The following is a 12,400-nucleotide window of genomic DNA, read 5'->3' as shown; positions in this document are numbered from 1 at the left end:
AAACATAAGCCAGGCGTGTTGGTGTGCACCTGTAATCCCAGCTACTCAGGAGGCTGAGATGGAAGAATCACTTGAGCCCAGGAGGCAGAGGTTGCAGTGAGCCAAGATCACGCCACTGCACTCCAGCCTGGGCAACAGAGCAAGACCCTGTCTCCAAAAGAAATAAAATTTTAAAAAAGACTAAAAAACAATACAAATGATCAGTGAAATAAAAAGATTTGAAAAAATAAAATTGACAACCACTAGTAAATTTTCCCAGACACATATACCAACATAGATTCAAGAGGAAATAGAAAACCTGATCAAACAGACCAGTTATGAGTAATTAAAGTGAATCTGTAATTAAAAGTCTCCCATTAAAGAAAAGTCCAGCACTTGATTCCTTCACTGCAGAATTCTGCCAAACATTTAAAGAAGAGCTAATACCAATTCTTCTCATACTCCTCCAGAAAACTGAAGAGAAGGGAACTCTTCTGAACTCAATCCACAAGGCCAGCATTACCCTAATAGCAATACCACATGAGGATACAACAAAATAAAGAAAAATATAGACAAGTATCCTTGATGAACATAAATTTTTAAATCCCCAACGAAATACTAGCAAACTGAATCCAGCAACACATTGAAAAGAGCATTCATGATGAAAAAGTGGGATTTATCCCAGGGATGCAAGAATGGTTCAACATATGCAAATCCATAAATGCGATGCATCACATCAACAGAATGAAGAACAAAAACCATGTGGTAATGCCAGTAGATGCAGAAAAAGCATTTGATAAGTGGCTTCATGATATGAACTCTTAACAAGTTAGGTATAGAAAGAACATACTTCAACACAATAAAGGCCATATATGACTTACCCACAACCAACATCATACTGAACGTGGAAAAGCTGAAAACGTTTCCACTAAGATGTGGAAAAACACAGGATGCCCACTTTCACCACTTCTATTTAACATGTTATTACTGGAAGTCCTTTTAGGACTGATAAGTAAAGTTGCAGAATACAAAATTAACATACAGAAATCAGTTCTGTGTATATACACCAACAATTAACTCACTGAAAAATAAATCAAGAAGTCCATCTTATTTACAATAGCCACCAAAAAAGAATAAAATACATAGGAATAAATTTAGTCAAAGAGGTGAAACGTCTGCAAGGAAAACTAAAACACTGATGACAGAAATTGAAGAGGAAACAAAAACAGACATCCCATGTTCATGGATAGGAATAATTAATATTGTGAAAATGACAGTACTATCAGAAGTGACCTGCAGATTGAATGTAATCCCTATCAAAATGCCAGTGATATTATTCACAGAAATAGAAAACACAATCTTTGTATGGGTTTTTCCCCCAAAGACAGCAGATTAGAGGCTTTTCCAGCATGCCTAACCCACTTGGAAAAAGCAAAATAGTGTGCAGATAGTCACATCATTAACTTTTATCCAAGAAGGAATACAGGAATTGAACAGAACATTTCAGACACTGGGAAAGAGAAATTTGGGAGACAGCCCTCCTGGCAGAGTCTGGCTAAAAACAGAAAATCCCCAATACAGGAGATGGGGAGTCAGTGTTCCTCTGCAGTCCATCTTCCCACTGGGGAAGTGTGCAATCCAGGCCACAGGAGAGCACCTTGAGCTTCCCAAGCCCTGGATCTTACTTAGGGAGTAGCTGAGAGACATTGAGAAGGAACAACCTGGGATGCATCCCATGCATTTTCCCAGACCTGGTGGCTGATAAGAGGACTCCAGTCTCAGTCCTAGCTCATAGCAAACTGTGTGGGAATCCTGTGGCCTAGCAGCAGCAGCAGAAGCAGCATCTGTTAGCATTATAAAGTCTCATGCCAGGATTGGAACACTGGGTCTTTGGTAGGAAAGGGGCCCACACAGCCAGAAATGATAAATGAGTACAGCTTGGGCCTCCAGCTTTGGGCACTAGAATTGGACCCCTGCACCCCCATCATGGGACTGGAGCAGGAGATTTGCCTGAGAGGTGTGGTTTTGGACCCAATAGCAAATTTGCAGGCTGAAGGCAGATATATGGTCTGTCTGATTCCTGTGGTTGGGATGAGGAAATGAGTCCTGATGGTTCTGGAGAGAGAGAGAGAGGCAGGTCCCATACTGTTTGCCTGGTTTTAACAATGGGTTTGCCCTTGCCTTCCTGTGCTGGGACATTGATGCAATGTCAGTTGCTCTCATCTTTGCCTAGGCATTTCTACAGGGTTTGGCAACTGTCCCTAGATCCCTGTCAGAGCCAGTGCTTCTGCCTGCTACTGGGGGACCAAATGGCTGTCTTGCCCAGTCCAGCTCTACCCAGCTTCACCTCTCCCCACCAGTCCCCTCCCCTCCCCCAAGGCTGAGTGTAAGACCCAAACCACTGAGCTTTCCCTGGCCCAACCCATTGCGTGGGACACTTAAGTACTTCTCTTGGTTAACAAAGATAAGTCGTAAACCCTACTGTTAGAACTGTAGCCAGCTGTGACCTGCAACTACCACCTGCTGGCCTGGAGGTTGACCCACACAGCCCATTACAACATCTGCTTACATAAGTGCACAGCACTTGGGAATAAGAAAAGCTTCTCATGACTTCTTTTACCACCATTGCTCATGCCACCCCAGCTTCTCAGGAGGTTATGAGCCAGCTCACCCACCCGATACACCACTACTGTAACCAGCATTTGAGAAAGCCACCACACTAAGGCTGTTTATATCCAAGGAAATCCTAGAATATTTGCTACTGAACACACTCAGAAGCAAAGTCAAACAATCCTACTCAAATTACATCATAGTAACATCCTCAGGATTAAAAAAAGTCCACTCCAGAACTCCCATTCACAATTGCTTCAAAGAGAGTAAAATACATAGGAATCCAACTTACAAGGGATGAAGGACCTCTTCAAGAAGAACTACAAACCACTGCTCAACGAAATAAAAGAGGACACAAACAAATGGAAGAACATTCCATGCTCATGGATAGGAAGAATCAATATTGTGAAAATGGCCATACTGCCCAAGGTAATTTATAGATTCAATGCCATCCCCATCAAGCTACCAATGACTTTCTTCATAGAATTGGAAAAAAACTACTTTAAAGTTCATATGGAACCAAAAAAGAGCCCGCATAAGCCAAAAGAACAAAACTGGAGGCGTCATGCTACCTGACTTCAAACTATACTACAAGGCTACAGTAACCAGAACAGCATGGTACTGGTACCAAAACAGAGATATAGACCAATGGAACAGAACAGAGCCCTCAGAAATAATACCACACATCTACAACTATCGGATCTTTGACAAAGCTGACAAAAACAAGAAATGGGGAAAGGATTCCCTATTTAAGAAATGACGCTGGGAAAACTGGCTAGCCATATGTAGAAAGCTGAAACTGGATCCCTTCCTTACACCTTATACAAAAATTAATTCAAGATGGATTAAAGACTTAAATGTTAGACTTAAAACCATAAAAACCCTAAAAGAAAACCTAGGCAATACCATTCAGGACATAGGCATGGGCAAGGACTTCATGTCTAAAACACCAAAAGCAATGGCCACAAAAGCCAAAATTGACAAATGGGATCTAATTAAACTAAAGAGCTTCTGCACAGCTAAAGAAACTACCAATAGAGTGAACAGGCAACCTACAGAATGGGAGAAAATTTTTGCAATCTACCCATCTGACAAAGGGCTAATATCCAGAATCTACAAAGAACTTAAACAAATTTGCAAGAAAAAAATCAAACAACCCCATCAAAAAGTGGGCAAAGGATACAGACAGACACTTCTCAAAAGAAGACATTTATGCAGCCAACAGACACATGAAAAAATGCTCATCATCACTGGCCATCAGAGAAATGCAAATCAAAACCACAATGAGATACCATCTCACACCAGTTAGAATGGTGATTGTTAAAAAGTTAGGAAACAACAGGTGCTGGAGAGGATGTGGAGAAATAGGAACACTTCTACACTGTTGGTGGGACTGTAAACTAGTTCAACCATTGTGGAAGACAGTGTGGTGATTCCTCAAGGATCTAGAACTAGAAATACCATTTGACCCAGCCATCCCATTACTGGGTATATACCAAAGGACTATAAATCGTGCTGCTATAAAGACACATGCACACGTATGTTTATTGCGTCACTATTCACAGTAGCAAAGACTTGGAACCAACCCAAATGTCCAACAACGATAGACTGGATTAAGAAAATGTGGCACATATACACCATGGAATACTATGCAGCCATAAAAAAGGATGTGTTCATGTCCTTTTTAGGGACATGGATGAAGCTGGAAACCATCATTCTCAGCAAACTATTGCAAGGACAGAAAACCAAACACCACATGTTCTCACTCATAGGTGGGAATTGAACAATGAGAACACTTGGACACAGGATGGGGAACATCACACACTGGGGCCTGTCATGGGTTGGGGGGAAGAGGGAGGGATAGCATTAGGAGATATACCTAATGTAAATGATGAGTTAATGGGTGCAGCACACCAACATGGCACATGTATACATATGTAACAAACCTGCACGTTGTGCACATGTACCCTAGAACTTAAAGTATAATAATAATAAATAAACCATAAAAAATAAAAAATAATCCCACTTCAACTAAAATTTAAAAATAAGGACAAGCAACTATTTGTGCAGATGTGAAGAAGTCAATATAATACTATAGGAAGTATGAAAAAGATAATATGACACCCCCCCAAAAAAACACAGTAATTCTCCAACAATGGATCCTTAAATCCTCAAAATGTCAAGTAAGATAAGTTTTTTATTTTAAAAACAGACAACTCCTGGAAATGAAATACTCATTGAAGGAATTGCAAGATACATTTGAAAGCTTTAACAATGATTTAGGGCCGGGCGTGGTGGCTCACGCCTGTAATCCCAGCACTTTGGGAGGATGAGGTGGGTGGATCACGAGGTCAGGAGATCGAGACTCATCCTGGCTAACATGGTGAAACCCCGTCTCTACTAAAAATACAAAAAATTAGCCGGGCATGGTGGCGGGTGCCTGTAGTCCCAGCTACTCGGGAGGCTGAGGCAGGAGAATGGCGTGAACTCGGGAGGCAGAGTTTACAGTGAGCCGAGATCGTGCCACTGCACTCCAGCCTGGGCAAAAGAGCAAGACTCCATCTCAAAACAAAAAGCAAAAAACAATGATTTACATCAGGAGTTCCCAACAATGATCTAGACCATGGATACAGGACACACAGCAGGAGCTGAGCATCAGGTGAGTGACTGAAGCTTCATTTGTATTTACAGTCGCTCCCCATTGCTAGCATTACTTCCTGAGCTGCTCCTCCTCTCAGATCAGGGGTGGCATTAGGTTCTCATAGGAGTGTGAAGCCTACTGTGAACTGTACATGCAAAGCATCTAGGTTGAGTGCTCCTCATGAGAATCTAATGCCTAATCTCTCACTGTCTCCCATCTCTCCCAGATGGGACCATCTGCTTGCAGGAGAACAAGCTCAGGGCTCCTACTGATTCTACGTTATGGTGATTTGTATAATTATTTCATTATATATTACAATTTAATAATAATAGAAATAAAGGGCACAATAAATGTAATGTGCTTGAATCATCCTGAAACCATCCCCTACCCGCCAGTCTGTGGAAAAATTGTCTTCCACAAAACCAGTCACTGGTGCCAAAAAGGTTGGGGGCCACTGATCTAGATCAAGTGGAAGAAAAACATCCCACAACTTGACGACAAGTGTTTTGGATGAATCTGGTCGCACAGAAATACAGAAAAGAAAAACTTCAAAAGAACAAGGCCTCCAAGAAGCATGGACTATATAAAGCAACTAAACTGAATCATTGGTGTTTCAGAGGAAGAAGAAAACAGCAAGGAGTTTAGAAAACTTACTTAAGGAAATAATTGATGAAAACAACTTAACTCGTTTAGCAAGACATCTAGTCATTCAGATACAAGAGGCAGAAAGATTAACAGGCAAATACATTGCAAAAGGACTTCACCATGACATATAGTCATCAGATTGCTTAAAGACTTCACCATGACATATAGTCATCAGATTGCTTAAAGTCAGTGTGAAGGAAAAAATTCTAAAATCAACAAGAGAAAAGCACCTAGTCATCTATAAGGGAAGCTCCATCAGACAAACAACAGACTTTCTCAGCAGATAGGGAAAGATACACTACACAAGCCAGAAGAGAATGGGATGCTATTTTCAAAGTGCTAAAAGGAGAAAAATTTTCATCCAGCTAGAATAAACTTCGTAAGTGAAGGAGAAAACGGGTCTTTCTCAGACAAGCAAATGTGGGCAACAAGCCACCCAGGTGCCGAGGCAAGAGACCGAGGGCACGAGCTATTCCAATATTATAAAATAACAAGAATTATACTAGATGTAAATCATAGATATGATTATATATGAATATCATTAATCATTAGTTTGTAGCAATTACTCTTTATTCCAATATTATAGTAATCCTTACTCTACAATTATAACCTAGGAAAAACCAGGCCATACAGAGATAGTAGCTGAAGGGGCATGGTGAGAAGTGACCAGAAGACAAGAGTGTGAGCCCTCTGTCACGCCCAGACAGGGCCACCAGAGGGCTCCTTGGTCTAGCGGTAACGCCAGTGTCTGGGAAGACGCCCATTACCAAGCGGACCATGGTCTAGCGGTAGCTGTCAGTGCCAAGGAAATGTACCCGCTACTTAGCAGACCAGGAAAGGGAGTCTCCCTTTCCCTGGGGGAGTTTAGAGAAGACTCTGCTCCACCACCTCTTGTGGAAGGCCCGACTGATGTCAGGCCCACCCGCAGTTATCTGGAGGCCTAACCATCTCCCTGTGATGCTGTGCTTCAGCGGTCACGCCCCTGGTCCGCTCTCATGTTCCATCCTGTACACCTGGCTCCGCCCTCTAGATAGCAATAGCAAAATTAGTGAAAGTGTTAAAGTCTTTGATCTTTCTGAAAAGAGCATAGAAGAAATGATGACGTAAGCTGTCCTCTCTCTCTCCGCCTCGGCTACCTAACAGGGAAGGGCCCCCTGTCCAGTGGACATGTGACTCACGTGACCTTATCAGTCACTGGAGGTGACTCAAACTCTTTACCCTGCCCCTTTTACTTTGTATCCAATAAATAACAGTGCAGCCAGGCATTCGGGGCCACTACTGGTCTCCGCATCTTGGTGGTAGTGGTCCCCCGGGCCCAGCTATCTTTTCTTTTATCTCTTTGTCTTGTGTCTTTATTTCTGCAATCTCTCGTCTCCACACATGGGGAGAAAAACCCACCAACCCCGTGGGGCTGGACCCTACAAGCAAACACTAAGAGAATTCATCACCACTGGACTAATACTATAGTAGAGGCTCAAAGGAGTCCCAGACATGGAAACAAAAGGTTGATATTTGCCATCATAAAAACACATGAAAGTATAAAATTAATAAGTCTCATAAAACAATTACACGAAGAAGAGAAAGGAATCAAATGGCACCATGATAGAACTCCATGAAACCACAAAGACAGAAGAAAAAATAAAACAAAGAATTTACAAAACAGCTAGATAACAATATATTTCAGTAACAAGATGTCATATATCAATGTTAACCTTGAACCTAAATGGATCAAATGCTCCGCTTAAAAGATACAGCCTGACTGAATAGATTTTTTTAAATGACACAACTGTGTGATACCTAGACACACAGATCGACTGAAAGTGAAGGGGTAGAGAAAAACATGCTACACAAACAGAAAGCAAAAGCAGTAAGAATAGCTATTCTTATGCCAGATAAAACAGACGTTATGTAAAAAATAAAAATTAAAAAACGTAAATAGATAATAGTGAAGGGATCAATTCTGCAGGAGGATATGACAATTCAAAATATTTATACACCCAACACCATAGCACCCATAAATAAGTAAAGCTAATATTACTAGGCCTCAAGGGATAGATACACTCCAATACAATAATGGTTGGGAAATTCAGTATCCGGCTGATACGATTTGGCTGTGTCGCCACCCAAATCTCATCTTGAATTATAGTTCCCATAATCCCCATGTGTCATGTGAGGGACCCAGTGGGAGGTAACTGAATCATGAGGGTGGTTAACTCCATGTTGTTCTCGTGATAGAGAGTGAGTTCTCACAAGATCTGATGGGATAGTTTTATAAGCGTCTGGCGTTTCTCCTGCTGGCACTCATTCTCTCTCCTGCTGCCCTGTGAAGAGGTGCCTTCTGCTATGATTGTAAGTTTCCTGAGGCCTTCTTAGCCATGCGGAACTGAGTTGATTAAACCTCTTTTCTTTATAAATTACCCAGTCTGGGGTATTTCCTCATAGCAGCATAAAAACGGACTAATACACCCGCTGTCAACATTGGACAGATCATCTGGACAGAAATTAACAGAATACTTGGATTTGAACTGTACTATATACCAAATGGACGTAACAGACATTTACAGAACACTGTATCAAATTGCTGCAGAATACACATTTTCCTCAACATATGGAACATTGTTTAGAAACACTATATATTAGACCACAAAACAAGTCTCAACAAATTTTTAAAAATAGAAATCATATCATGCATCTTAGAACACAGTGGAATAAAACTCAATAACCAGAGGAACTTTGGAAACAGTATCTACGTGGAAACTAAACAACATGATCACTGCCATAAGGTTGATGAATATATTAAGAGATATTTCTTAAGTTCTTGAAATAAATGAAAATGGAAATAAAACATACCAAAACCTACAAGATACAGCAAAAGCAGTGCTAAGAGGGAAGTGTTTATAGCAATGAATGCCTAAATCAGACAATTAGAAATATTTCAAATGAAGAGCCCAGTTATGCACCTCAAGGAACTGGAAAAGCAAGAATAAACCAAACCCAAAATTGGTAGAATGAAAGAAATAATAAAGATCAGCATAGAACTAAATGAAACAGAGACTAAAAACACAATACAAAGGATCAACACAATGAAATTTGGTTTTTCAATAGATAAATGGCTAAAAGAAGCCTCAAATAAAATCAGAAGTGAAAAAGGAGACATTACAACTGAAACCAACAAAATACAAAGGATCATTAGAGGTTTGTGAAGAATTATACACTAACATACTGGAAAACCTAGAGAAAATGGATACATTCCTAGCCACATACAACCTACCAACATTGAACCAAGAAGAAATAGAAAACATGAACAGAACAATAAATAGTAATGATCCCTCAACAAAAACTCAGGACCAGATGGCTTTACTGCCAAATCCTATCAAATTTATAAAGGAGAATTAACGTCAGTTCTTCTGAAACTATTTCAAAAAATGAAAGAAGAGAGAATTCTTTCTAACTCATTCTACCAGACCCAAATTATTCCAATATTAAAACCAGACAAGGGCACAACGAAATAAGAAAATGGCAGGCCAATGTCCTTGAACATAGACACAAAAAGCCTCAACCCAGTACGAAGCAAAGTGAATCCAACAACACATCAAAAAGATAATACAGCAATATAACGTGGGATTTGTCCCGGGGATAGAAGGATGTTTTGGCATTTGCAAGTCAATAGTCATGATGTTTCACATCAACAGAATAAAGGAACAACAAATACCAGATTCTCAATAGACACAGAAAAGGCGTTTGATAAAATTCAACACTCTTTGCAAATTAGGTATAGAAGTAACATACTTCAATATAGTGAAAGATACACATGACCCACAGCTAACATCATATTGATTAGGAAAAGCTGAAAGACTTTCCTTTAAGAACTGGTTCAAGACAAGGATGCCCACTTCTACCTACCACCCCCTCTGTTCCACATAGTGCTGGAAGTCATAGCCGGAGCAGTCAGAACATAGAAATAAAAGGTGGCCAAGCTCGGTGGCTCACACCTGTAATCGCAGCACTTTGGGAGACCAAGGTAGGCGGATCACTTGAGCCAAGTAGTTCAAGACCAGCCTGGGCAATGTGGGGAGACCCCTTTCTCCACAAGAAATATAGAAATTAGCCAGGTGTGGTGGTGTGTGCCTATAGTCCCAGGTATTCAGGAGGCTGAGGCAGGAGGATGGATTGAGCCCAGGAGGTCCAGGCTGCAGTGAGCCATGATCACACCACTACACTCCAGCCTGGGTGACAGAGCAGGGACCCTGTCTCTAAGAAAAAAAATAGAAGAAAGAAAGGAAGGAAGGAAAGGAGGAAGGGAGGAAGGGGCATCCATATCATAAAGAGAATGTTAGTTGTCTCCCTTTTCAGGTTATGTGACCATATGTAGAAAAAAAACAAAGAGTTCACCAAAAACTCATAAACCTGATAAATTCAGTAAAGTTGGAGAATACAAAGTTTGTGTACAAAAGTTAGTATCATTTCTGTACACCAGTAACAAACTGGGTAATAAGGAAATCAAGAAAGCAGTCCTATTTGCAATAGTCACATAAAAATAAAATACATAAGAATAATAAATTTAACCAATATTCTCAAATACTGATGAAAGAAATTGAAGAGATCACAGAAAAATGGAGAAATATATGTCATCATGTATAAAATACATGTAGATACTAGTCTATTTGATCATTTACTATCATAAAATATACAAAAATCCATTGTAAAAAGTTAAAAATTATTAAAACAAATACATGGCACCATTCACAGTTGGAAGAAATGTAAACCATGTTAAATCATAACCGCATAAAATTAACAGTAGTACGTACTGTATTAATGTAATAATTTCATAGCCACCTGTTGCTATTGTGATCACCAGTGTTGCCAGTGTCCACTTGAAATGTCATGTGACATACGCTTATGAGTAGTTCGTCCCTCCATTAGGTTGATTATTGCAGTAAAAGTGACCTCTTGTGGTTCTCACATAGTTTTCAATGTGTTTAGTGCAGTATCATGAATCTTGAATATTACACCATGGGACCTGTATGAAGTGCCATAGTGCTGCTGGAAATGCTCCCAAGAAGCGGAGAGAAGTCATGACGTTACAAGAAAAAGTTGTATTGCTTGATTTGTACCATAGATAGAGGTCTTCAGCTGCAGGTGCTGCCATTTCACAAAGAATGACTTAGCATATCATTGTAAAACACATAAAAGGACAGAAAAATCTATTCATGAAGCCATTGCTATAGCTACACCAACAGGCACAAAAACTTTATACTTTTTGCTAAATACCTTTTGCAGCCTTTATGTGGGTGCAGGATTTCTATAAGGAAGGCATACCTGTAGTATCCAATGTGATTTGAGGAAAAGAAAAGTCATTATATGACAACTTAAAAGGAAAGCAAAGGATATAGCACTGGAGAATTTAATGGCAGCAAACGTTAGTTTGAAAAGTTTAGAAAGAGATTTGGCTTTAAAAATGACAAGATAACAGGAGAAGTAGCTTTTGACGATCAAGAAGTAGCAGTCAAGTCAGGTTCCCAGATTTCATTAAGAAAATCATTGAGGAGAAAGGTTATTTTTGTGAACGGATTTTTAATATTGATGAAAGTGCCCTATTTGGGGGGAAAGTGCCACAAAGGACATTTATTAGTAAGGTAGAGAAGAGAGAATTAAGACTTCAGGCATTTGTTTTGTGCAAATGCAGTCAGGTCTATGATCAAGACTGCCCTTATTGATAAAGCTACTAAACACCAGCCTGGAAGGGAAATTATAAATACCATCTGCCGGTTTTTAATTGCAAAACAGGGAGGACCGAATAGTGGGAACCCTCTGAATTGGTTTTATCAGTGCTTTGTCCCTGAAATTAGGAAGTACCTTGCCAGGGTAGGACTGCCTTTTAACGTTTTTTTGATATTGGATAATGCCCCTGGCCACCCAGAACCCCATGAATTCAATACTGAAGGCTTCAGAGTGGCCTTCTTGACCCCAGACATGCCTCTAATTCAACCTCTAGAGCAGGGGGTCCTAAGGACCCTTACGGCTTAGTATGCACAGTATGCTATGTAAAGCATTTAATGCTGTAGAATAGAATCCAGATAAAACATCACAAAAGTCTGGAAAGATGGCACTGTTGAAGATGTCATTATTATTATAGGAAATGCCATGAAAGTCTAAACAAAAGATTTCTATGGGAGAAAACTGTGTCCAGACGTAGTACATGATTTCACAGGATTTATGATAGAGCCAGTCAAGGAAATCATGAAACAGATTGTGGATATGGCAAAAAAAAAAAAAAAAAAAAAAGTTAGGGGGTAAAGGGTTTCAAGATGAGGATGTTGAAGAAATTCAAGAGCAAATAGATACTACACCAGAGTAATTAAATTAATAGGAGATGACTTGATGGAAATGGGTGTTTCCATGTTGTTCAAGGGGCAGCTATGATAACAATATCAAACAAACTATAGGTTGAGTACCCTTTATCCAAAATGCTTTGGACCAGAAATTTTTCAGATTCTGGAATATTTGCATTATACTTACCGTTTG

General features: G+C 40.0%; 1 protein-coding gene across 3 annotated transcripts in view, besides 1 other annotated feature; it reads left to right on the top strand.

Moving 5' to 3' along the window:
- The window catches only part of RNF130 (ring finger protein 130), a 160,109-nt gene that overhangs the window by 74,446 nt on the left and 73,263 nt on the right, over positions 1 to 12,400 (top strand). The gene's annotated exons all lie outside the window — the stretch shown is intronic.
- Positions 9,257 to 9,791: an enhancer, noted in NCBI's record as "OCT4-NANOG hESC enhancer chr5:179414523-179415057 (GRCh37/hg19 assembly coordinates)". NCBI's record gives its function as "activates a minimal SCP1, AML or CMV promoter by ChIP-STARR-seq in primed H9 embryonic stem cells {active_cell/tissue: H9 hESC(primed)}" and the evidence as "EXISTENCE:reporter gene assay evidence [ECO:0000049][PMID:30033119]".

Source organism: Homo sapiens, chromosome 5 (genome assembly GCF_000001405.40).
Source record: "Homo sapiens chromosome 5, GRCh38.p14 Primary Assembly".
Taxonomy (NCBI): domain Eukaryota; kingdom Metazoa; phylum Chordata; class Mammalia; order Primates; family Hominidae; genus Homo; species Homo sapiens.
This window is presented reverse-complemented; position numbering and strand designations above follow the sequence as displayed.